This window comes from Homo sapiens, chromosome 18 (genome assembly GCF_000001405.40).
Source record: "Homo sapiens chromosome 18, GRCh38.p14 Primary Assembly".
In the NCBI taxonomy this organism is placed as follows: Eukaryota; Metazoa; Chordata; class Mammalia; order Primates; family Hominidae; genus Homo; species Homo sapiens.
In genome coordinates, this window is record NC_000018.10 from 758,293 (window position 1) to 783,504 (window position 25,212).

At 40.5% G+C, this 25,212-nt stretch overlaps 1 protein-coding gene across 10 annotated transcripts in view; it reads right to left on the reverse strand.

Annotated features, from left to right (window-relative positions):
- YES1 (YES proto-oncogene 1, Src family tyrosine kinase) overlaps window positions 1–25,212 on the reverse strand; it is a 91,166-nt gene that overhangs the window by 36,705 nt on the left and 29,249 nt on the right. The window contains exon 1 of one of the 10 annotated variants that reach the window (XM_017025960.3): window positions 16,766–16,821. The exons of 8 other annotated variants lie outside the window; for them this stretch is intronic. The gene's annotated coding sequence lies outside the window, so the exon portion shown is untranslated. Of the gene's footprint in view, window positions 1–3,341; window positions 3,349–16,765; window positions 16,822–25,212 lie in introns of those variants that run through there. One more of the 10 variants, XM_024451245.2, reaches the window with a different exon arrangement.

Here is a 25,212-nt window from a genome sequence, read left to right on the forward strand (position 1 = left end):
AGGGCTCAAGAGTTGTATATGGCTAGTGGCTATCATACAGGACAAAGTAGATCTATACCTTTTCCCTTCCCTGTCAATGGAAACACCCCTAACGCTCACCAAATTTAACCCCAATCTATCTTTCCAACCTTTCCAACTTTATTTCCTACTGTCCTCATACTTACGCTCACACACACACAAATCTTGTTTCCCCAGTGCATATGCCCTGTGCTTTCCCATTTTGGGTTTCTTTTTCCCCCTTCTAAAATTGTCTCTGTTCCAAGTATTCTCCCCACCTCTCTACCTGCTAAAATCCTATCCTTTCACTGATGGTCATCACAAATGTTACTTTTCCATTCAGGCTTTCCTTATAATCAGTAAAATATCTTTTCTCTTAAAACCCACAATATACCTTTGGGGAGATTTTCTTATGAGGCTCACTTTATTCCATTTTATATACCATTTTTAATTTACTGGTCAAATCCCAACCTACCCCCAAATTAATGGCAATACACTCCTTCAAAACAAGAGTTGTGCTTTACTCATCGCTTACCTACCGTATTATCTATCATATAGGTTTACTAACATTACAAAATCTGCATTATTCTATTCACTGTCTACAGAAGCACTAATATAGAATTCATTAATTCACTTAACTTTCAAAGGTCATTCTTATTTGTATAGTTTTTCCCTTTCTATGACATTCAAAAGGAAGTAGGTGAGTGTTGGCCGCCTCATAAATTCTGAAAGACTAAACATTTACAACCTCAGCTGTATAATAATAATTTAAAATGTAGCTACATATATTAAAATAGAAGCAGTCTCAGAACCTCAGAATTGGGTTTTAGATCACTCTCTTAAATTGGTATATTCTAAAGATGTGAGTTAACTATAAGCATCAAAATATAACCGGGGCTAGGCGCGGTGGCTCACGCCTGTAATCCCAACACTTTGGGAGGCCAAAATGGGTGGACAGCCTGAGGTCAGAAGTTTGAGACCAGCCTGGCCAACATGGTGAAACTCCGTCTCTATTAAAAATACAAAAATTAGCTGGGCGAGGTGGCGGGCGCCTGTAATTCCAGCTACTTGGGAGGCTGGCGCAGGAGAATTGCTTGAACCCAGGAGGCGGAGGTTGCAGTGAGCCAAGATTGTGCCATTGCACTCCAGCCTGGGCGACAAGAACGAAACTCCGTCTCAAAAAACAAACAACAAAAACCCATAACCGGATCTGGAAACTTAATATACGGTCTTTTGTATCTATGAGTTCTGCATCCATGGATTCAGCCAAGATTCAAAAGTTTCAGAAAAAAATTGTGTCTGTACTAAATAACGTACAGACTTTTTTTCCTTGTCATTATTCCCTAAACAACATAGTACAATAACTATTTACACTGTATTAGGTATTATAAGTAATCTGGAGACAATTTATTTATTTCTTTTTTTCTTTTATTATTATTATACTCTAAGGTTGTAGGGTACATGTGCACAACGTGCAGGTTACATATGTATACATGTGCCATGTTGGTGTGCTGCACCCATTAACTCGTCATTTACATTAGGTATATCTCCTAATGCTATCCTTCCCCCCTCCCCCCACCCCACGACAAGCCCCGGTGTATGATGTTCCCCTTCCTGTGTCCAAGTGTTCTCATTGTTCAATTCCCACCTATGAGTGAGAACATGCAGTGTTTGGTTTTCTGTCCTTGTGATAGTTTGCTCAGAATGATGCCTTCCAGCTTCATCCATGTCCCTACAAAGGACGTGAACTCATCCTTTTTTATGGCTGCATAGTATTCCATGGTGTATATGTGCCACATTTTCTTAATCCAGTCTATCACTGAGGGACATCTGGGTTGGTTCCAAGTCTTTGTTATTGTGAATAGTGCAATCTGGAGACAATTTAAAGCATACAGGGGGACTGGGCACAGTGGCTCACACCTGTCATCCCAGCACTTTGCAGGGACAAGGCGGGTGGATCACCTGAGGTCAGGAGTTTGAGACCAGCCTGGCCAACATGGTGAAACCCTGCCTCTACTAAAAATACAAAAGTTAGCCACGTGTGGTGGTGCGCACCTGTAGTCCCCGCTACTCGGGAGGCTGAGGCAGAAGAATCGCTTGAATCTGGGAGGCGGAGGTTGCAGTAAGTCAAGATTATGCCACTGCACTCCAGCCTGGGTGAAAGAGTGAGATTCTGTCTAAAAAAAACAAACAAACAACAACAACAACAACAAAAACCCCAAAAAACCGCATATGGGGGATTTGTGCACAGGTTATATACAAATACATGCCATTTTATATCATGGACTTGAGCATCTGGGGATTTTGGTATCCACAGGAGGTTCTAGAAGGCTCTACAATTTCCCATGGATCTTGAGGGATGACTAAAGTGAAAATATTGTAAAGGAATTATAAGCTAAATATATAAAAGGCAGTTGCTTCTAAAAGTATTAGAAAAAATTAAAGGTAAGTAGTTTCATAATCTAAAGTTGGAAAAGTCTTTTAAAGTATAAAGTAACTTCCACATTGAGAGGGGCAGGGGTGGGGACAGAAGTTTAAGAGAAGCTAAAATATCTTTGTACTTGCTCATGCTTTCTTGTTCTCTCAATATATAATAAATGTACACATGTGGAATCTGGTTGACACTCTTAATACAGACAACTCTTATGCATGAAAAGAAAAAGTCCAACAGAAAAACATGAAAACCTATCAAGAGACAATTCACAACACAGGAAAGGCCAATTAACATATGAAAATGCATCCAACCTTCCCAGTCTTCCAAGAAATGCACATTATAAGAAGATACCTTTTGTGGTTACCAGACTGGAAGATTTTGACTCAATATACTTAAGCCTGAAGGCAAAATTGTAACAATCAATATATATCCACAAAATATGTAAAAACTGGGAGGGGGAAAGGTCTACTGTTCCCCACCCCACTTTCTGTCAGGGCCAAGCACTGTTCTTTGCCGTTTAAAAAAAAAAAAAAAAAGTTTAACTGTAAAAATCTTAAAAGTCGGTACAAGGAATTTACAAAATTACCTGCATCCAAAGTCTAAATATCAAGAAAACAGCATTAATTATTACATAAATTATACTTTGAAAGAACAGCAGTTGTATGAAGGAGGAAAAATTATGGGGGAAACCCAGTAATACTGTAATTTAAATTCTGATAGGAGGCCAACTCGGAAATACCATGTCAATTCACAACAGAGGCTCCTATAATTGCCCAACTACCTCAGTTTCCATTCCCAGCTTAATTCCTCATCCTCACCTCCTTTACCCATAACCATCTTAAAGTCCTCTTCCCTCAAAAGTCACACCTTTTCTCCTCACCCTATCAAGTCTTCCATTACTATGCTTAACCTGTCCTCCAGCCTCATTTTCTTAATCCAGAGTATTGAGCCTAATGCCTCACACATCTACGCACTTATCTTTCCAATAACTCTAGGATAGCCCATTAATTTCAGTCCAATTCCACCAGCACCCCAGTATCAATGCATAGGACCCATCATTGCTGCTCATCTCATTTTGAAATATTACTAATGTCATACGTGATTCACATTTTTAAGTAAATTTCAGGTGCAATATGAGTTAAACTGATTTTTATGGGTTGTCTTAGAAACGTTAACATCATGGCTGGGCATCGTGGCTCATGCCTGTAATCCCAGAACTTTGGGAGGCCAAGATGGGAGGATCACCTGAGGTCGGGAGTTTGAGACCAGCCTGACCAATGTGGAGAAACCCTGTCTCTACTAAAAATACAAAATTAGCTGGGCGTGGTGGTGCATGCCTGTAATCCCAGCACTTTGGGAGGCCAGGGTGGGCGGATCACCTGAGATTGGGAGTTTGAGACCAGCCTGACCAATGTGGAGAAACCCTGTCTCTACTAAAAATACAAAATTAGCTGGGCGTGGTGGCCCATGCCTGTAATCTCAGCTACTCAGGAGGCTGAGGCAGGAGAATCGCTTGAACCCAGGAGGCAGAGGCTGCGGTGAGCCGAGATTGCGTCATTGCACTCCAGCCTGGGCAACAAGAGCGAAACTCCATCTCAAAAAAAAGAAAAAAGAAATGTAACATCATTTAAAACATTTATATGGAAACCTACCTGTTGGATATTACACTGATTACCTGGGTAACAAAATTTATCTGTAGGCCAAACCCCACAACACACAATTTACCCATGTAACAAACCTGCACGTGCACCCCTTGAATCTAAAATAAAAGATGGAAAGAAAAAACAAACAATAAACCAAACAAGAAAAATCCCCCAAAATAAAAAAATAAAACATTTATATGGAAAAGTCTCTTCCAAGTTCCAAGCTACTGACTTATATATTCATTAATAACATACATTATGGGATTAAAAAAAACTATATACTGGGTACAACGTACACTACTCCGGTGACGGGTGCACCAAAACCTCAGAATTCACCACTACATAATTCATCCATTTAACCGAACACCACTTGTACCTCAAAAGCTATCAAAATAAAACCAAAAACTAAAAATATTGTATATTAGACACTGTAAAAGGAGCTGGGAGGACAATAAATGGTCCCTTTTCATTAAAAGGTCACAAATGTATGAAACAAATACAACACTGTACAATGTGAAAAATGCTAGAGTGTGACAAAATGTTAGAGTGGAGGTATGTACAAAATACCATGGAAATACAACAAATGTTATCAGCTCTGCTTAAAGCACTTAGGAAAAAAAGTTTTGCAAAGGAAGTGGTATCTGAGCTTGGTCTTGAAGAGTTGGAGACTTGGGGGAAAGAAAAGGATATTCCAGGAAGAATGAAAAGTGTACAGAATGGCTCAGATGCTTGAAACAGCATGGTTCATTTTAGGAACAGAAAATTTCTCTGTTCCAAGAGTGTGAGGGGCTGTTTGTGAGCTGGGTAGGACAGGCAGCTAGAGGAGATTTAATATAGAAGATTATTTGTTATGCAATAACTTTTAGACTTTCTCCAGGGAGCATTAGGAATCCAGAATTTTTGTTTTGAGGAATAGCAGAAGATATGTGTTTTATAATAACTATGACAAAAGGATGAATTATACAGCCTAGAAAGAAGAAAAAATGACAGCAGTTAGACAAGTTATAAAACTATTCCAACTGACCCATGTGAGAAAAGGCAAAAGCAGCCAGGTGTGGCGGCTCATGTCTGTAATCTCAGCATTTTGGGAAGCTGAGGTGGAAAGATTGCTTGAGCCTAGAAATTTGAGAGCAGCCTGGGCGTCATGGCAGAACCCCGTCTCTACAAAAAATACAAAAAATTACCCAGTTGTGGTGTGTGGTGGCACATCCCTATAGTTCTAGCTACTTGGGAGGTTGAGGTGGGAAGATCACCTGAGCCCAGGGAGGTCAAGGCTGCAGTGAGCTGTGATCGTGCCACTGCACTCCATCCTGGATGACAGAGGAGATCCTGTCTTCAAAAAAAAAAAAAAAAAAAAAAGACGAGCTGGAACAGTGTGGGGCCAGTGATAATGGGGGAAATGAGAAGTGTATAAGTATAATAATCAAGGTTGTCAGTTAAATATGGAAAGAGGAGACATTAAGAAAAAGTCGAGGCCAGGCGCAGTGGCTCACATCTGTAATCCCAGCACTTTGGGAGGCCGAGGCGGGCAGATCATGAGGTCAGGAGATCGAGACCATCCTGGCTAACAGGGCGAAAACCCGTTTCTACAAAAAATAGAAAAAATCAGCGGGGTGTGGTGGCGGGCACTGTAGTCCCAGCTACTCGGGAGGCTGAGGCAGGAGAATGGCATGAACCCGGGAGGCGGAGCTTGCAGTGAGCCGAGATCACACCACTGCACTCCAGCCTGGGCGACAGAGCGAGACTCCCTCTCAAAAAAAAAAAAAAAGAAAAAGTCATTCATTCTTCAGTATTTATTGAACCTTTTAAAGTACTTACTATACGTGTATTAAGGGTTGGCTGACTCCAAAGTTTCCAGTTTTTTATTTTTTTTGAGACTGAGTCTCACTCTTGTTGCCTAGGCTAGAGCACAATGGTACAATCCCGGCACACTACAACCTCTGCCTCCTGGATTCAAGTGATTCTCCTGACTCAGCCTCCCAAGTAGCTGGGATTATAGGCATGTGCCACCATGCCCGGCTAATTTTGTATTTTTAGTAGAGACAGAGTATCACCATGTTTGTCAGGCTGGTCTCGAACTCCTGACCTCAAGTGATCCACCTGCCTTGGCCTCCCAAAGTGCTGGGATTACAGGCGTGAGCCACCGTGCCTGGCCAAAGTTTCTAGTTTTAACCAAGTGGAGAGTAACACCATAATTAAGGTAGAGGACAGAGGAAAAGATTTTTTGGACCAGTTTCAGATGGTTCGTTTTAGGTTCATGCTGTGAAGTCTGGTGGGGGATTAATAATATGTTTAAAGCTCAGAAAAAGATGGAAGCCAGAGATAGATTAAACAAAAATAGTTTCATAATTTATCTGAATCTTTCTTTTTTCTCTCTTTTTTTTGAGACGGAGTCTCGTTCTGTCACCCAGGCTGGAGTGCAGTGGCGCGATCTCGACTCACTGTAACCTCCGCCTCCTGGGTTCATGCGATTCTCCTGCCTCAGCCTCCCGAGTAGCTGGGATTACAGGTGCACACCACCACACCCGGCTAATTTTTTGTGTATTTTTAGTAGAGACCGGGTTTCACTATGTTGGCCAGACTAGTCTCAAACTCCTGACCTTGTGATCCGTCCGCCTTAGCCTCCCAAAGGGCTGAGATTACAGGCGTGAGCCACCTCGCCCGGCTTATCTGAATCTTTTAAAGATAACAGAACTCTCAAATAATGTACAGCTTTAGAGGAAATCAAAAGAATTAACACAATGTTGGAGGACACCTACATACAAGCATAAGACAGGGAGAGAAATTAGGAAGCAACCATTAGAGTTGGGAATACCTCCATAGATACGAAAAGATAATCATCAACTTCAAGACACTGGACAGGTTTGGGAAAGAGTTACAACTATATATATATATATATATATATATATATATATATATATATATATCTGTAGCAATTTTTTCATTATATGAAACATGAAGCAAACAGAGAAAATGTTAGTGTGTTAAATGTGGATAAATTATTTTTGTTTGAAGTATTTTATAATTTAACACTTTTTTTTTTTTTTTTTGAGACGGAGTCTCGCTCTGTCGCCCAGGCTGGAGTGTAGTGGCGTGATCTTGGCTCAGTGCAACCTCCCGCTCCCCGGTTCAAGCGATTCTCCTGCCTCACCCTCCCCAGTAGCTGGGATTACAGGCGTGTACCACCACACCCAGCTAATTTTTTGTATTTTTAGTAGAGACACGGTTTCACCTTATTGGCCAGTCTGGTCTCGAACGCCTGACCTTGTGACCCACCCACCCTGGCCTCTCAAAGTGCTGGGATTACAGGCGTGAGCCACCGCACCCGGCCAATTTAACACTTTTTAATAAGGAGTAAAATAAGTGGGAATAAACAGACTTTCAGGAAGAAAATGGCTAATAGTGTTAAAGACAAAATCAAGTCAAGTGGCACTTAAAATGATTTTTTTAAAGGCCAGCTGATTAGTAATTTGGAGCTCACTGGTGACTTTACCAAGAGCATTTCTTAACATCATGAAGACAAAAGCGAGATTGCAGTAAGTTGAAGAATAATAAGTGAGCCATGAAATGAGGTAATCTTTGGAATATCTTCATAAGTTGGGAACACATGCATTATCAAGATGTTTCCTATCATTTCTTTGTCTACTTCACTGATCCTCTACTTCACAGTATTAGTGTAATCAAATACAGTTGCCACTTGGTTAGTCAACAGCCATTCTTCCTCTTCTTTGATAAAAAGAACTGTGATTTTGTTGATCCTTCTTACGTTTGCCAAGTCCTTCAGGGGAGGCTCAGTGCCTATCCAGCCCTACGTAGTAAATATTGATTTATTTAAGCCACTTACACGGTCTTATCTCTATTGCCAGTTGGCTAGTTGAGCCATGAGCATGGGCTTCCAGGAAGTTTTCCCCACTTGTAAAGAGGAATACAAGACAGAAATATTCTATTTTCTTTCCATAGATGTTATCATCGATGATGCCTAGATCAAATGACTTGCTCCACATCCTTAAGACTTGTTATTAACACTTTTAAAAACTGCTAATTAAATGTAAGTTAAAACCGCAAAGGGATAGCACTACATGATTAGTGAAAGATGATTATCTTTTCTATGTTTTCGTATTTATGGAAGTATTCCCAACTCTAATAGGAAGCAACCATTAGAGTTAGGAATACTTCCATAAATACAAAAACATAGAAAAGATAATCATCAACTTCATTCTAGAATCAAAACATTCTAATTTCTCATTCTAATTGGTATGTAGTGATATCCCTTTGTGGTTTTTACATTTCCCTAATGACTACACCTTATTTTGAGCATGTTCTCATGTGCTTATTTGCTTCCCATCTCTACTTTGGTGACGTGACTGTTCAAATCAGTTTTTAAACTAAAGTGTCTGTTCAAATCAAATTTTTAATTGGGCTGTCTTCTTTCTGTTATGTTCTGGAAACAAGAATATTTACTACTCTAACACTATTATATTCTTTATATATTCTGGAATCTAGTTCTCTGTCAGATGTTTATACTAAACTGTGATATTTCTCCCAGTTCATAGGTTGCCTTTGCATTTCCATAACAGTATCCTTGAACATGCTTTTAAATTTTAAGTTCAATTAAAATTTTTTATTTTTATGGTTTATGTTTTATGTGTCCGGAAAATTCTTCACCAGAAGATTTTCTACATGTTCATCTGTAAGTCTGAACTCTTCTGTAAGTCTGAACTCTTCTGTAAGTCAGGCCTATCAAGCCATTTTAAGCTAATTTTTGAATATATTATAATAGTCTTACATTCAAAAAAAATTTTTTTTGAGACAAGGTCTGGCTACTCTGGCTGGAGTACAGTGACATGATAATGGGTCACTGAAACCTTCCCCTTCCAGGCTCAAGACATCCTCTTATCTCAGCCTTCTGAGCAGCTGGGACTATAGGCGAGCACCACCACGCCTGGCTCATTTTTGTATTTTTTTGTAAGGACAGAGTTTCACTATGTTGTCCAGGCTGTTCTGGAACTCGTGAGCTCAAGCAATTCGCCTGCCTCAGCCTCCCAAAGTGATGGGATTACAGACATAAGCCACAATGCCCGGCCCCATGTTCAATTTTTTAAAACTCGATATCTAGTTCTCCTAGTACAATTTGTTGAAAAACCTATCCATTTCCCACTGAATTACCTTGTTACCTTTGTCAAAAAGCAATTAACCATGTATGTGTGTAGGTCTGCTTTCATTCCCTATTTTTCCCATTGTCCTACATATCTATTCTCATGTCAATGACGATAGTCGTCATTACTGTAGCTTTACTGTGTCTTGAAATTATATAATATAAAGCCTCCAGTTTTTTCATTTTTATTTATTTTTTGAGTCAGAGTCTCGCTCTGTGCCTAGGCTGGAGTACAGGGGCACGATCTCGGTTCACTGCAACCTCCATCTCCTGGGTTCAAGTGATTCTCCTGCCTCAGCTTCCCAAGTAGCTGGGATTACAGACGTGCACCACAACAACTGGCTAATTTTTGTATTTTTAGTAGAGATGGGGTTTCACCATGTTGGCCAGGCTGGTCTCAAACTCCTGACCTCAAGTGATCCAACCGCCTCGGCCTCCCAAAGTGATGGAATTACAGGCATGAGCCACTGTGCCCAGCCTTTTTCATCTTTTTCAAAATTGCTTTAAATACTCTAGGGCAGGGTCAGCAAATTTATTCTGTAAAATATTTTAAGCTTTGTGGACCATATGGTGTCTGTAACAACTACTCAACTCTGCTGGTTTACTGCAAAAGCAGGCTCAGACAATACGCACAACACACTAAGTGTGGCAATGTTAAAAAACCATTTCCAAAAGCAGGCAGTTGGCTTGCTAAGACCTGCCAAACCATGCATGAGGGTCTTTGCATTTCCATACAAATTTTAAAATCTCTACAAATTTTAATCATACAAATTTTAGAATCTCCACAAAAATGCCTGCTGGGATTCTGACTGGGATTATTCTTAATCTATAGATCAATCTGGGGAGAAATGATATTTTAAGAATACTGACTTCCGCTTGATCCATGAATGTGGTATTTTATTTATTTGGGCATTTACAGACTTTTCCCAGCAGTGTTTTATAGTTTTCAGTGTACAGGTCTTGTCCAATTTTTGTACAGCTTATCTCTAGACACTATGGTTTATGCCATTATAAATGTTACTACTTTATTTCTATTTCCAACTCTTCATCACTAACATATACCATCATGTGCAGCGTAACATTTTGGTCAAGGAGGGACCACATATATGACGGTGGTCCCGTAAGATTATAATACTGTATTTTTACCATACCTTTTCTATGTTTAGATATGTTATTTATTTATTTATTTATTTATTTTTGAGACAGGGTCTTGCTCTGTCACCCAGCCTGGAGTGCAGTGGTGTGATCTCGGCTCACTGCAACCTCCGCTTCCCAGGTTCAAGAGATTCTCGTGCCTCAGCCTCCCGAGTAGCTCGGATTACAGGCATCTGCCACCACGCCTGGCTAATTTTTGTATTTTTAGTAGAGACAGGGTTTCCCCATGTTGGCTGGGCTGGTCTTGAACTCCTGACCTCCAGTGATCCACCTGCCTCAGCCTCCCGAAGTGCTGGGATACAGGCATGAGCCACTGTGCCTGGCCCTAGATATGTTTAGATACACAAATACTTACCATTGTGTTACAACTGCCTACAGCATTCAGTATAGTGACATGTTTGTAGCCTAGGAGCCATAGGCTATACCATATAGCCTAGGTATATAGGTATATAGGTATAATAGGCTGTACCATCTAGGTTTATGTAAGCACACTGCATGATGTTCACACAATGATGAAATCGCCTGATGACACAATGTCAGAACATATTCCTGTCTTTAAAGTGACGTGCGACCGTAAGTAAATCTGTATACAAAGTATATTTGTATATTACGTTCTTGTGACTGTACTAAACTCTTATGATTTCTAGTACTTTTATAGGTTCTACAGTATTTTCTACACTCAAGATCATGTGTACAAATAAACACTGTCTTGCTCTTTACTCTCCTACATACGTCTTTTTCCCTGCTTACCTTATTCACTGACTAGTACCTCCAGTGCAATGTCGAACACAAGTGAGGAGAGAATATCTATGCCTTGGTTCTCAATCTTAAGAGGAAAGTATTTAGTCCATCACTATTATGTATGATATTAGCTGTAGGATTTTTGTATTATAGCAGAACTTCATAAGGCCAAGCAAAGTTCCCTTGTTTGCTGACAGTTTTTATCATAAATGAGTGAATTTTGTCAAAAGCTTTTCTACATGTACTTAGATTATCATATAGGTTTTTTTCCTTTATTCAATTGATGTAGTGAATTTTACTAATTGATTATTGACTGTTAAGTAAACCTTGGGACCTTTGCATTCTTGAGATAAAACCCAATTGGTCATGGTATATTACCCTTTTATATATTCCTGAAAGCTAATATTTTGCTAAATATTTTTGTCTATGGTCAAGAACCACATTGTTCTTTAGTAGTATTTTCCTGTAATTTCTGTGTTTGCTTTTGGTATCAGGATGTTGGCCTCACAAAATGAATTGGGAAGTATTCTCTTCCTGTTCTTTTTTTTTTTTTGAGACGGAGTCTTGCTCTATCGCCCAGACTGGGAGTGCAGTGGCGTGATCCCGGCTCACTGCAACTGCAATCTCTGCCTCCTGGGTTCAAGGGATTCTCCTGCCTCAGCCTCCCAAGTAGCTGGCAGTACAGGCACGCGCCACCACACCCAGTTAATTTTTGTATTTTTAGTAGAGACAGGGTTTCACCATGTTAGCCAGGATTGTCTTGATCTCCTGACGTCGTGATCTGCCTGCCTCGGCCTCCCAAAGTGCTGGGATTACAGGTGCTGTGAGCCACTGCGCCCGGCCCTTTTATCTTTTTTTTTTTTTTTTTAAGAGTTTTTAAGATTGGTATTATTTCGTCCTTCAATGTGAGTGATCAACAAGGACTTTCCCCTCTAGCTAGTAAAACCTCAAATGCTTCCCAGCCCTCTGTGACCTCTGATGTCTGTCAGTTCACATCAATCTGGTTGCTCTTTGTCTGGCTTTACAGTTTTACTCCATGTATGTTCATTCTAGAATTCAGCAAAAAGTCAGAGACTTCTATGGATAGCATTAATTTTGACAAAGTGTCCTTCCTGCTGAACTTTGCCCTACAACTTCTTGCTGCCTCAGCTTCCATAAATTCTGATCTCTATCTCTTCATCTTGTTCTTTGCTCAAGATTCCCTGTCCCAGATCTACAATTTAGAATGTGCCCCAGGCAAAAAGCCAGGGTGGGTGGGTGCCTGTAAAGCTCACTTTGTTTGTTTCCCTTCTTTTAGGGATCACAGTCCTGCACTGCTGTTGTCCAAAGTCTAAAACCCATTGTTTCATTATTTTGTCCAGATTTTCAAGGTTTTTGTGTGTTTGTGGAGGTGTGGGGGTTGACAGATGGTAAACTCCATCATGGTCACTTGAAAATTCTGAAAAGTTGCCAGAGTGGTGGCTCATGCCTTTAATCCCAACACTTTGGAAGGCTGAGGTGGGAGAACAGCTTGAGGGCAGTGACTGTTAGGCAGTGACAGTAGGTACCACCGCACTCTGCTCTGGGCAATGAAGAGATATCCCATCTCAAAAAAAAAAAAAAATCTGAAAAGTTAAAACCTAGAAAAACATTTCATTCCCCGGTGTTAATAATCATTCAAGTGATGGCTGGGCATGGTGGCTCATGCCTGTAATTCCAGCACTTTGGGAGGCCCAGGCAGGCAGATCACTTGAGGTCTCAGGAGTTCAAGACCAGCCTGACCAACATGGCGAAACCTCGTCTCTACTAAAAATACAAAAATAAGCTGGGCATGGTGGTGCATGCCTGTAATCCCAGCTACCTGGGAAGCTGAGGCATGAGACTCATTTGAACCTAGGAGGCGGAGGTTGCAGTGAGCCAAGATTGCACCACTACACTACAGCCTGGGGAATAAGAGCAAAACTTTGTCTCAAAAAAAAAAAAAATTCATTTGAGTGCAGAGGGTATTATTTCTTAAATGAACTTGTGTTTAACTTTTTATTATAACAGATAAAATATTTATTCCTTAAAAATCACCTTCAAATAAATTAACATTTTAAGTGTTTTATTGTAATCTGTTAAACCACTCCGTGGCATTTTTCTTTTACATTTCAAGAAAGAAAACTTTTTTGTGATGGGGTTTCACTTTGTCACACAGGCTGGAGTGCAGTGGCGCGATCACGACTCACTGAAGCCTAGACCTCCCGGTCTCAAACTATCCTCCCACCTCAGCCTCTCTAGTAGCTGGGACCACAGGTGCAGGCCATGATGCCTGGCTAATTTTTGTACATTTTTGTAGAGATAGGGCTTTGTCATGTTGCCCAGGCTGGGCACAGGGATCCCCACACTTCGGCCTTCCCTGGGATTACAGGTGTGAGCTACCACACCTGGCCTGGAAGAAAAAATGTTAAAAAGTATTTCCTTATGTATCTGCTTGGTAAGTCTAAACATTTATACTCAGCTTAACGTTGGGCTCTTTTGGACTGAAGAAGGGATTTTATTGTAAAGATAAAAATGTTAATAAGGAAGAGGCAAGAATTTCACATAAAAATCAGAAATTACAAGACAGTCTGATCGTACACCACAAAAGCATGTTCAAGTTTTTTTTTTGACATGGAATTTCACTCTTGTTGCCCAGGCTGGAGTGCAATGCCACGATCTCGGCTCACGGCAACCTCTGCCTCCTGGGTTCAAGTGATGCTCCTGCCTCAGCCTCCCAAATAGCTGGGATTATAGGCATGCACCCACCACATCCAGCTAATTTTGTATTTTCAGTACAGACAGCGTTTCTCCATGTTGGTCAGGCTGGTCTCAAACTCCCAACCTCAAGTGATCCTCCCACTTCGGCCTCCCAAAGTGCTGGGATTACAGGCATGAGCCACCGCACCCGGCCTGCATGTTCAAGTTTGAATGCAGGTCTTGATACTAGGTAAACATTGCTTTGTTTTCCAGAACTTATCGCTTCCCTACCATAATGTGGATTAAGCATCTCTATTTCTTTTTTCTTTTTTTTTGAGATAGAGTCTCACTCTTGTCACCCAGGCTAGAGTGCAATGGTGCGATCTCGGCTCACTGCAACCTCCGCCTCCTGGGTTCAAGCAATTCTCCTGCCTCAGCCTCCTGAGTAGCTGGGATTACAGGCACACGCCACCATGCCCAGCTAATTTTGTATTTTTAGTAGAGACAGAGTTTCACCATGTTGGTCAGGCTGGTCTCAAACTCCTGACCTCAGGTGATCCACCTGCCTCGGCCTCTCAAAGTGCTGGGATTACAAGTATGAGGCACCACGCCCGGCCAGCATCTCTATTTCTGTATTTCTGATGTTTCTGGCTAACTACTTTACTCTCTACTGACATACCTATTCTCTACCTCATAATTTCTACTTACTCATAATTTTTATTCATTTGTGGTCTGCTCCAGGTTCCCTCTATCTTCCACAGCACTTTAATTGCCTGTTTCTGAGTTTGCATTTGCATGGCCAAGAGTAAAAGCAAAATAATATAAACTGCTATCTAACTGCACTAACCTGCTGACCAGTTATGGTTTGGCTATAGGCTGGTCCTATGGTTTCCTTAAGAGGCTGTGGACTAGAAGGTACTATGATGACTGGCCTCTTTAGCACAATCTCTTCTTAACATAAGGTCTCCTAGATTGATCTTGCTTTAATAGCTAGTAGAAATACACATTTTAGCAAAATGCACTGAAAGTAATAACTTTTCAAATTGAAACAAATTTCCACATTAGATTTTTCTTTAATAGAGATGAAGTCAAAAATCTGGAAGATTAATGTTTAATGCTGATCCAGCTCTACTAAGTCACCTGCCATTACCAGAGGGAGGAGTCAGGTCAGTACAGACAGCTTTACTTTGTTCCCTCCTCATACCTGAACTACTTTCATCTTCCTGGATAACGGGCAAGAGAAGGCAGAGTGGAACCAAAAGGGCTTTGCTGATGGGGCAAGTTCTCAGGAGCAGAGAAGTAAAACAGCCCCTTTCCTATTTCTTATATGGTTGTCTTGTCACCCCCTAAAAGAAGGTAAATCAGTGTATTCAAAAACTTGAACCATGACAGTCATGTTTCGATTCAAAATCCTGTACGAATTAAAAGGCTGGTAAGACAGTGAGGAAAGACAGACACCAAGAAATGCTACCAGGTATTTAAGATGGTCAGGCATTCTCTTCTCTTTTAAAACCTCTAGACTTTCATAATCCTGTCCATTGTATAATAACTTTCCTGCTTCTTTTCTTTCCACATAACCCACTTCTTTTAGCAAACTTTGTTCCAACTTTCCTATGTTTCTCGCATTCACTTAAAATACAATCTGATCCAATGCTGACTAATAAAAGAAAAAAATAAGAAAAAAACTGAGGTTCTCTCTCTCTCTTCCTTAAAACACTTTTCCCTTTTTTTTTTTGAGACGGAATCTTGCTCTGTCGCCCAGGCTAGAGTGCAGTGGTGTGATCTCGGCTCACTGCAACCTCCACCTCCTGGGTTTGAGCAATTCTCCTGCCTCAGCCTCCCGAGTAGCTGGAATTACATGCGCCCACCATCTTGCCCGGCTAATTTTTGTATTTTTCAGTAGAGACGGGGTTTCACCATCTTGGCCAGGCTGGTCTCAAACTCCTGACCTTGTGATCCACCCGCCTTGGCCTCCCAAAGTGCTGGGATTACGGGCTTAAGCCACGGCGCCTGGCCTTCCCATCTGCTTTGTAAGACATTACCCTCTTGGTTTCCCCCCGTCTTACTGGCTGCTCCTTCTCAGTCTCCTTTGCTAACTGTTCCTCATCTCCCTGACATCTACACACTGGACTGTTGCCGAAAAGACTTCTCCATTTACATTCATTCCTTTGGTGATATCACCCAGTCTTATATCTTTAAATACCACCTGCAAATTGATGATTACCAGGTTTGTATCTTTACGGACTTCTGGACTTCTCACTCCAACTCACTTTTAACTGTCTACGCAATACCTTCACTTGGACGTCTAAAAGGATTTCAAATTTAACATTTCCAAGAAACCTAATCTTCCTCCCCAAAGCAGCTCCTCCTGCAATCTTCCCCAACTCGATAAATGTTAACGCCATTCTTCTAGTTTTTCAGGCCCAAACTCTGAAGTCACCCTTATTACCTATTTCACACCCTTAAACTCCTCAGTAACCCCCCGGCCCTATTCTCAAAATACATTCAGTATCTGACAACTTCTCTCCACCTCCCACTGCTACCCTGGTCTAGGTCACATCACCTTTCACTAATTCAACAATACTGAATTATTCTAATAGCCTAACTGGTCTCCCAGTTCCTGCCATTGCACCTTTTACAGGCATGTCTCACAGCAGTAGTTTAACATCACTCCTCTGCCATAATCCACCCAAAGACTTCCAATTGCACTTAAAGTCAAAGCCAAAGTTCCTACTATGGCCTTCAAGATCCAATAACCTATTATGCAGCCTTCAACTCCTACTACTGTGCCCCAACTTGCCTCACTTCTGCTACACTGGCCTTCCTGCTCTCCTTCAAACAGACCAAGCATACTCCCAGCTTATTGTATGTATGGCAGAACAGTTAAGAGCATAGAGGTCAGAGACAGAGTGTCTGGGTGCAAAGTCTGAGTCCGTCACTTACTAGCTGGGTGAACTTCAACAAGTTACTCAACCTTTCTGTGTCCCAGTTTCCTTATCTGTAAAATATAAAAGTAAACCTCATAGAGTTGTGAAGATTAAATGAGTAAATATATACATATATAAAAAACACACCTAACATAGTGGCTGGTATTTGAAGCACGAATGTTTGCAACTGTGATCATTTTGATAATGGTGGCTCTCTTCCACAGCATGTAAATGTGGGCAAATTTAAAAAAAGTTATTGAAATATAGTACAAAGAAAAATAAATGTACAAGTGAATGAATTACATAAACTCAACACCAATGTACTCACCACCCAGACCAAGACACCCTGTCAGCACCCAAGAAGCCCATCTCATGCTATTAACCCTGCTCAGTTCCTCTTAACCATTACCTTGACTTCTAACATTACAGTTTAAGTTTTGCCTGCTTGTAAGGCTTCTCATAAATGGAATCACGGCCGGATGTAGTGGCTCACACCTGTAATACCAACACTTTGGAAAGCCAAAGCAGGAGGATTGTGTGAGCCCAGGAGTTTGAGACCACCCTGAGCAACATAATGAGACCTCATCTCTACAAAAAGTAAAAAAATTGGCTGAACATGGTGGCATACCCCTGTAGTCCCAGACACTTGGGAGGCTGAGGTTGGAGGATCGCTTGAGCCTGGGAGATAGAGGCTACAGTGAGCCGTGATTGTGCCACTGCACTCCAGCCTGGGTGACAGAGTGAGAACTTGCCTCAAATAAATTAAAAAAAAAAATAGAATCATATATAATGCATTATTTTGTATTTGACCTCTTTCACTTAACGATGCTTCTGAGACTCATCTCTATTATCAGGAACAGCTGTACTTTGTTTTCACTTCTGTGTAGCATTCTTTTATATGAATATACCATAGGTAAGGGATATGAATTGTTTCCAGTTTTTTTGCTATTAGAATAATGACAGCAATGAACATTCCCGAGCCCTCCTTGGTACGCATGTATGCATATTCTACTGGATGTAACCTTGCAATAGATTGCTGGGTCAAAGTGTTTGCACTGCTAAACAGTTTTCCAGAGTAGCTATAGCAGTTTATACTCTCACCAGCAAGCATGAGAATTACCATTGCTTTACATCATCAATACTTGGTATACTCGATCTTTTTTTTTTTTTGAGATGGAGTCTCCCTCTGTCGCCCAGGCTGGAGTGCAGTGATGCAATCTTGGCTCACTGCAACCTCTGCCTCTGGGGTTCAAGTGATTCTCGTGCCTCAGCCTCCCATGTAGCTGGGATTACAGGCTCATGCCACCACGCCTGGCCAATCTTTTAAAATGTATCTGTTTTGGTGGGTGTGTAGGAGTCTCTCACTGTGATTTTAATTTTATGTTCATAATTACTAATGAAGTGGCACCTTTACATATGTTTACCGGACATTATCTTTTGTGAAAGGTCTGTTCAAGACACTTATCCATTGTTCTATAGGGTTGTCTGTCCTTTTCTTATTGACTTGTAAGGCATTCTTTAATTTTCTGTGTATTGGAGGAGTAGGATTTAGTGCATTTACTCCTGTATCCCCAGAACCTAGAAGACAGTCTGAAACATAAAAAGCATTAATATTTTTTACATGAATGAATGCTTGCCTGGCTGTTTTCAGATCCTAATCATACCCGTTTCTACAATTCTGCCTCATAATCTGACAATATATGGTGATTCCTAACCTCCAATCCAACCCAAGGAGGTTCTAAAATGTTGACTGCCTAACAATCTTTATAAAGTAGAACTCTGTCTGTAACACTCCCTTGGATACACCTGTCAAGGGCTTCCTACAACCTACAAAATAAAACCTCAACCCTTAACCAGGCATTCCAGGTTAACTTCCCCAACTTACTTTTCTAATACGCTTTCCCTATCATCTACTAATCTTCCAAAACATGTATTTGTGGTTATGAAAAACAAAAAGGCCAATTAGACATTAACCACAAAAATCAGGGGGCAATTATTAATTTTTTTCATTCTTTTGCTCGAGAAATTATTTCTGAAGCAGAGGCAGCAGGATGTGCAAAAGCTCATAAACAAGAGGGAACAAAGTGGGGTTTTAAGTTGTAAGTAGTCTGGTGCTGGTGAAGTACAACATAGAAGAACAAGAAGGGGAGGAGGCTAAAACAGCAACAAGGAACAGAGCCTATGACTCAAGGATCTTCTATTTCCTTCTATTTAGCACTAATTGTTTTATATATGTATATAAAGACATTCATTTAATTTTGTTGGAAAAATAAACCACTGAATTGTAACTTGATTCTGATTAATTCTATTCAACAACCTGCCAGACATTTATATTCTTCCCTCCTCCAAAAAGCCAAGCCTAACAAAAATTCTAGAAATACTTGTAGGTTTTCCAACTATTTCCTAACTTATCAACTCCATAAGTCATATGAAAAATTTTCAACTTTATGTTAGGTGGTCATCTATCAGAATTACTTATATCAGGCCGGGTGCATTGGCTCACGCCTGTAATCCCAACACTTTGGGAGGCTGAGGCAGGCGGATCACTTGAGGTCAGAAGTTCAAGACCGGCCTGGCCAACATGCTGAAACCCTGTTTCTACTAAAAATACAAAAATCAGCCAGGCATGGTGGTGTGCGCCTGTAATCCCAGCTACTTGGGAGGCTGAGGCAGGAGCATTGCTCTAACCCAGGAGGCGGAGGTTGCAATGAGCTGAGATCACGCCATTACACTCCAGCCTGGACAACAGAGTGAGACTCTGGCTTAAAAAAAAAAAAAAAAAAAATTAAAAAAAGAATTACCTATATCAGAACATACTTTATAGCAGCATGTTTAGTAAAGCTATAACAAATTTGAAATAAGTTTATAATGTATCTGGCTCAATCATTAACAGTTAACACATTATTATGTTGTACACACACATTATGTTGTACAGTGTTACACTGTTAAAGTATTTTGCTTTAATACAATTTTACACTTTGACAGTGCTTTATGTCTTCAAAGCTCTTTGTTATTATTATTTAATTTGATCCCAAAATAATCCCAATATGTTACCAGGACAAGTAGGCATAATCTCTACATTTTACATTTGAAGAAACTGAAATGGAGAGAGGTTATTACATGCCTTGCTCAAGGACAGGGGGCTAAAAGTAGGCAAAACTAGGAACCAGGTCTTCTGACTTCTATACTGCATTCTTTCTACTACCCATACGATCTTCAGGGAAGCCTTGTGTATAGCATTCTTTGTTCATTGGTAAGTTATTAAATATTAGCCCTTTAGAAAATGTAACAAACATGATAACATTATTTACAGCCAAATCCACTGCTCAACCTATGGCACAATCTACTAACTTTGGAAACAGCACCCTGCCTGTCAGCATGACAATGTTGCCTTATTATTAGTAACAGTGACTAAAAATTTTCAAATGATTTAACACATTTCTGAACCTCTTAAAAAATTAAATGTACATTATTCCTATAAATGAACTCTAATAAGTTAACTAATTGTGACATTACATGCTCTATCTAGTTTGGAAGGAATAGCCCTAGTCTGGCATTTTGCCCAGATGGCTCCAATTTACATACAAGTTTTAAATCTTTAGGAAATCCTAGAAAAATAAATTTAGAGACTTAACTTCATAAAACATGAACAATTTCCATAGGTCACGGTGTTCTACAGGCCGTAGTCTATGATTTTTCTCTTTCATTTATAAATCCCCTCCCTTAAGCATAAAGCACAAAGGATAGGCAGGACCATAAAAGAGAAAACATAGGCAGAGAGAAGGAAGCAGCAGACTACTAAAGGGCATACACTTTGTCTTGTAAAAGCAAACAAAGAACTCCATTTTCCAAGAGTCGAAGGAGAAAAGAAATGTTAGCAATGGACAACTGATCTTGCAGGGGTCGGTAATGGTACCAATTTTTTACCATCTTTTTCTTTTTTCTGCCTTTTAGATATACAAACAATTGACCTTAAAGTAACCCAACTCCTTCTAAATTCCTGGAACCTCGTAGTTTCTTTAATGAAGTCTGATATAGGATCAGCCATGAGAAGAGCCTGATGTAAAGAATATGTAAGGAATTTTATGGATGGGGGCAGTGGCTGATCCCAGCAGTTTGGGAGGCTGAGGTGGGAGAATCACTTGAGTCCAGCAGTTCAGGACCAGCCTGGGCAACAAAAGGAGACCCCCGTCCCGGCAAAAAATTTTTTAAATCAGCCAAGCATGGTGGTACACACCTGTAGTCCTGGCTACTCAGAAGGCTGAGGTGGGAGGACAGCTTGAGCCTGGGAGGTCAAGGCTGCGGTAAGTTATGATCGCACCACTGCACTCCAGCCTCGGAGACAGAGTGAGACCCTGTCTCAAAAAAAAAAAAAAAAGAAAGAAAGAAATGTATAGAATAATTTTTTTTGTTATAGATTATAGTAACAAAAATAACTTACAAATTAAAGCCTCAAGATTTTTAAAAAATGTATTAAATTCAACACAGAACAGATCTGAATTATGCAGATCCCAGGTAACAGTTAATTACTTTCAGCCACCTTAGGCAATTATTAAAGGCAGTTTGTTGGCAGAAAGGCACCTATCAAGTACTATTATGTATCATTCCCTCTACAAATCCAGTCAACTCAAAAAATAAGCTGACCATATACCTATCTCAAGAATCTTTATTCTCTCAGATTTTCACACCTTACTTCCAGTCTTTTGTCAAGATTTTTGACCAGCAAATTACAGTAAACAATTAGATACCACTTTCAAGCCCTTATGTCAATTAAATGCTCCTCAGGCACTGCACGTACTCTTCTTTAATTGGGGTTTTAAACTTTAAAAACATCATCCACTTGTTTCTATAACAATGTATGTAGTCCTTTTTTTTTTTTTTTCTTAAATCTCTTTAAGAGAGACTAAAGAGGCTGGGTGCAGTGGCTCACGCCTGTAATCCCAGCACTTTGGGAGGCTGAGGAGGGTAGATTACCTGAGGTCAGGAGTTCGAAACCAGCCTGGCCAACATGGTGAAAGCTTGTCTCTACTAAAAATACAAAAATTAGCCAGGCGCTGTGGCACGCACCTGCTACTTGGGAGGATAAGGCAGGAGAATCACTTGAACCAGGGAGGTGGGGGTCACAGTTAGCCAAGATCATGCCACTGCCCTCTGCACTCCAGCTTGGGCGACAGAATGAGACTTTGTCTCCAAAACAAAAACAAAAACACAAACTTAATCTCCAGTGTGGCAGTATTGAAAGGGAGGCCTTTAAGAGGTGATTGGATCATGAGGACTCCACCCTTATTAATAAATTAATCCATGTATGGATTACTAAAGGATAAATGGATTCATGGGTCATCATGGGAGTACAACTGGTGGCTTTATAAGAGGAAGAGAGATCTTAGCTTAGCACAATAGCACACTCAGCCCCCTCACCATGTGATATCCTCCACCACCTAAGGATTCTGTAGACAAGAGTCCTACCAGCAAGAAAGCCCTTCTCATATGCCACCCCATGACCTTGGACTTCTCTGCCTCCAGATCTGTAAGAAATAAATTCCTTTTCTTTATAAATTAGCCAGTTTCAAGTATTCTGAAAATGGACTAAGATACCTTCCTGTGCCCTATATGGCCAATTGGTCACCAGGACCTGACCATACTGCCCTGTAATCTCTAGAATTCTTCCATTTCTCCCCCAACTACTTACTTGTTCTATAGGGTTGCCTATACTTCCCTTGAAACTTCCCTTGACTACTAATTATTTACGGTCTGGATTATTGCAAAAGCCTCTTTAACTGACTTCCATCCTTCTACAGTGTTAATTCTCCAATCCTTCCTGGCTATAATGTGAAAAATGTTTGTGTTCTCTAGAAAAGAAAGTCTAATTATGAGCCTTTGATGGTCCAGCCCCCTCTTTCTCCCAATATAAAGTCCAAACTCCTTAACATAAAATAGAAGACCTTGGCCAGGGGCGGTGGCTCACGCCTTCAATCCCAGCACTTTGGGGCCCGAGGTGGGTGGATCACCTGAGGTCAGGAGTTTGAAACCAGCCTGGCCAACATGGTGAAACCCCGTTTCTACTAAAAATACAAAAAATTAACTGGGAGTGGTGGCAGGCACCTATAATCCCAGCTACTCAGGAGGCTGAGGCAGAAGAATTGCTTGAACCTGGGAGATGGAGGTTGCAGTGAGCCGAGATCGCGCCATTGCACTGCAGCCTGGGGGACGAGAGTGAAACTCTGTCTCAAAAAAAAAAAAAAAAATAAGAGGGCCTTGTATGATTTGCTTAATTTACCTCTCTTGGCTCTTGATTTCTTTTAGATCCTCAAATGTACCATACTGTTTTCATAAACGCTTGGCACAACCTCCCTCTTTCCTTACGCTTGGCTTGTGACTACTCAACCTTCAGGTCTTAGCTTAAACGTTCAAGGAATCTTCCTTGATCTCCCATGTGCTCACACAGTACATTTTATTCCTGCCCCCACACCATTTATGACACTGAATTGTCACTGCCTGTTTATTTCTATCCTTCTCTGAGCTACAAACTTTGAGACAAGAAAAATTTCTCTCTTGTAGCTTAGCCTAGTGTTGGCTCATAGCTGATGCCCAATGAATATTTTTACAGATCATGAATACAAACTGACTTTGGAGTCAGACACACATTTCAATTCTGGTTCTGTCACTTATTAGCTACTGTGATCCTTGATCAAATTACTTTATCTTTCCTAAGACTGAATTTCCTTTTTTTTTTGGAGGAATAATACCTATCTTGCAAGGTTGTAAGAATTAACTGATATCATATGCAAAGCAATCATAGCACATACCCGAATGACAGCAGTGTTTGCCTTGGTTAAGACTTATGGCTTCAAGGACAGAATCTGACTAGAGGTAGCTTAAGCAAAAAGGGGATTTTTTATAAACATTATCGGAGTGCCTCATGGAATTCAGGGTCATAAGAGAAACTAGAACCAGCAACCCATGTTCTGGAAATTTGGTTCATTTCTTCTCTGTTTCTCCTGGTCTTTCCATCACTTCCCTTGCTTCCCCATTTTCTCTCCTCTCCCCAACTACCTGGTCCCTCTCTCCACCCCACTCCCATCTCTCCTTCACCACCTCCATGTGTTTTATCTTAGTCTCTCTTCATCTTTCATCTTTGCTACTATGCTCATGTGCTTCATTCTTCTCTCCTGTGGCACAATGGCCTTTTCGGCTCTTCATAAGGTAAAACATGGCTGGCAATAGTCCCAGAGTTAGTATTTTCATTTTAGAGCTAGGCTGAGGAACCATAAAATATCAATTCCTAATTCCTAAAGGACCCTGGCCCAGCTTGGATCAGCCGCCTCCCTCTGGGTCAGCCCTCTCCAGCCAAGAGGCAGGGTCACTGATGGAACATGGCAGATCCCACCTGAACCATGAGATGATAGGAAAGGTCCTAGAAAATGAGACAGTCTGGGCAATCAAAATACTTAGGGCTCACTACTCCATCTACTCAGTAAAGGCTATTAACATTTCAAGAGAATTGTTTTACTTAAGTGAATTAGCTGTAATAAAAATATATTATTAATTAGTCACAAGTTTAAAGTTACACATCTATGATTTTAAATCTTATATGAATGGGAAATGTGTGACATCAATATAAAACATGTAAAAAGGATTATTTTTTCTTTCTAATTTTAACTTTCTGAATTTTACATAGAGTCTCGTTCTGTCACCCAGGTTGGAGTGCAGCGGCACAATCTCGGCTCACTGCAACCTCCACCTCCTGGGTTCAAGTGATTCTTGTGCCTCAGGCTCCCAAGCACCTGGGATTACTGGTGTGCACCACCATGCCCGGCTAATTTTTGTATTTTTAGTAGAGACAGGGTTTCGCCATATTAGCCACTCCTAACCTGAAGTGATCCACCTGTCTTGGCCTCCCGAAGTGCTGCGATTACAGGCGTGAGCCATCACGCTCGGCTAACTTTCTGAATTTCTGATCTCAATAGCTAATGCTGCAAACAGACTACAAAGGTTAACTTTTTTTTTTTTAAGAAAAGTATGTAAAGATATCCTAAGAATATTTTTAAAAATTATATAGCCACTAGGTTTGGTGGCACATGTCTGTAAGTCCCAGCTACTCAGGAGGCCAAGGCAGAGGATCACTTGAGCCCAGGAATTTGAGTCTGCCTGGGCAAAATAGCTAGACCCCATCTCTTAAAAAATAAATAAATAAAACATTATACTGCATATTTTAGCTACAGACCCAAAGAGAAAGTTGAGAAAATATCTCAAATATACATTTAAAAACTCAAACTAGTACATCCTAAATGTCTTCTCAAAATCTTGTTCCAAACTGAACAGAAAACTCTTCTTGGTTATGTAGGGGAAACACACACACACACACACACACGGAAAAAATAATCACATAACCTATAGCTCTAAAGGAATTAATATGAATGCAATGTTATAACAAAATTGAATCTGAAAGCTCAATTGAGTTGA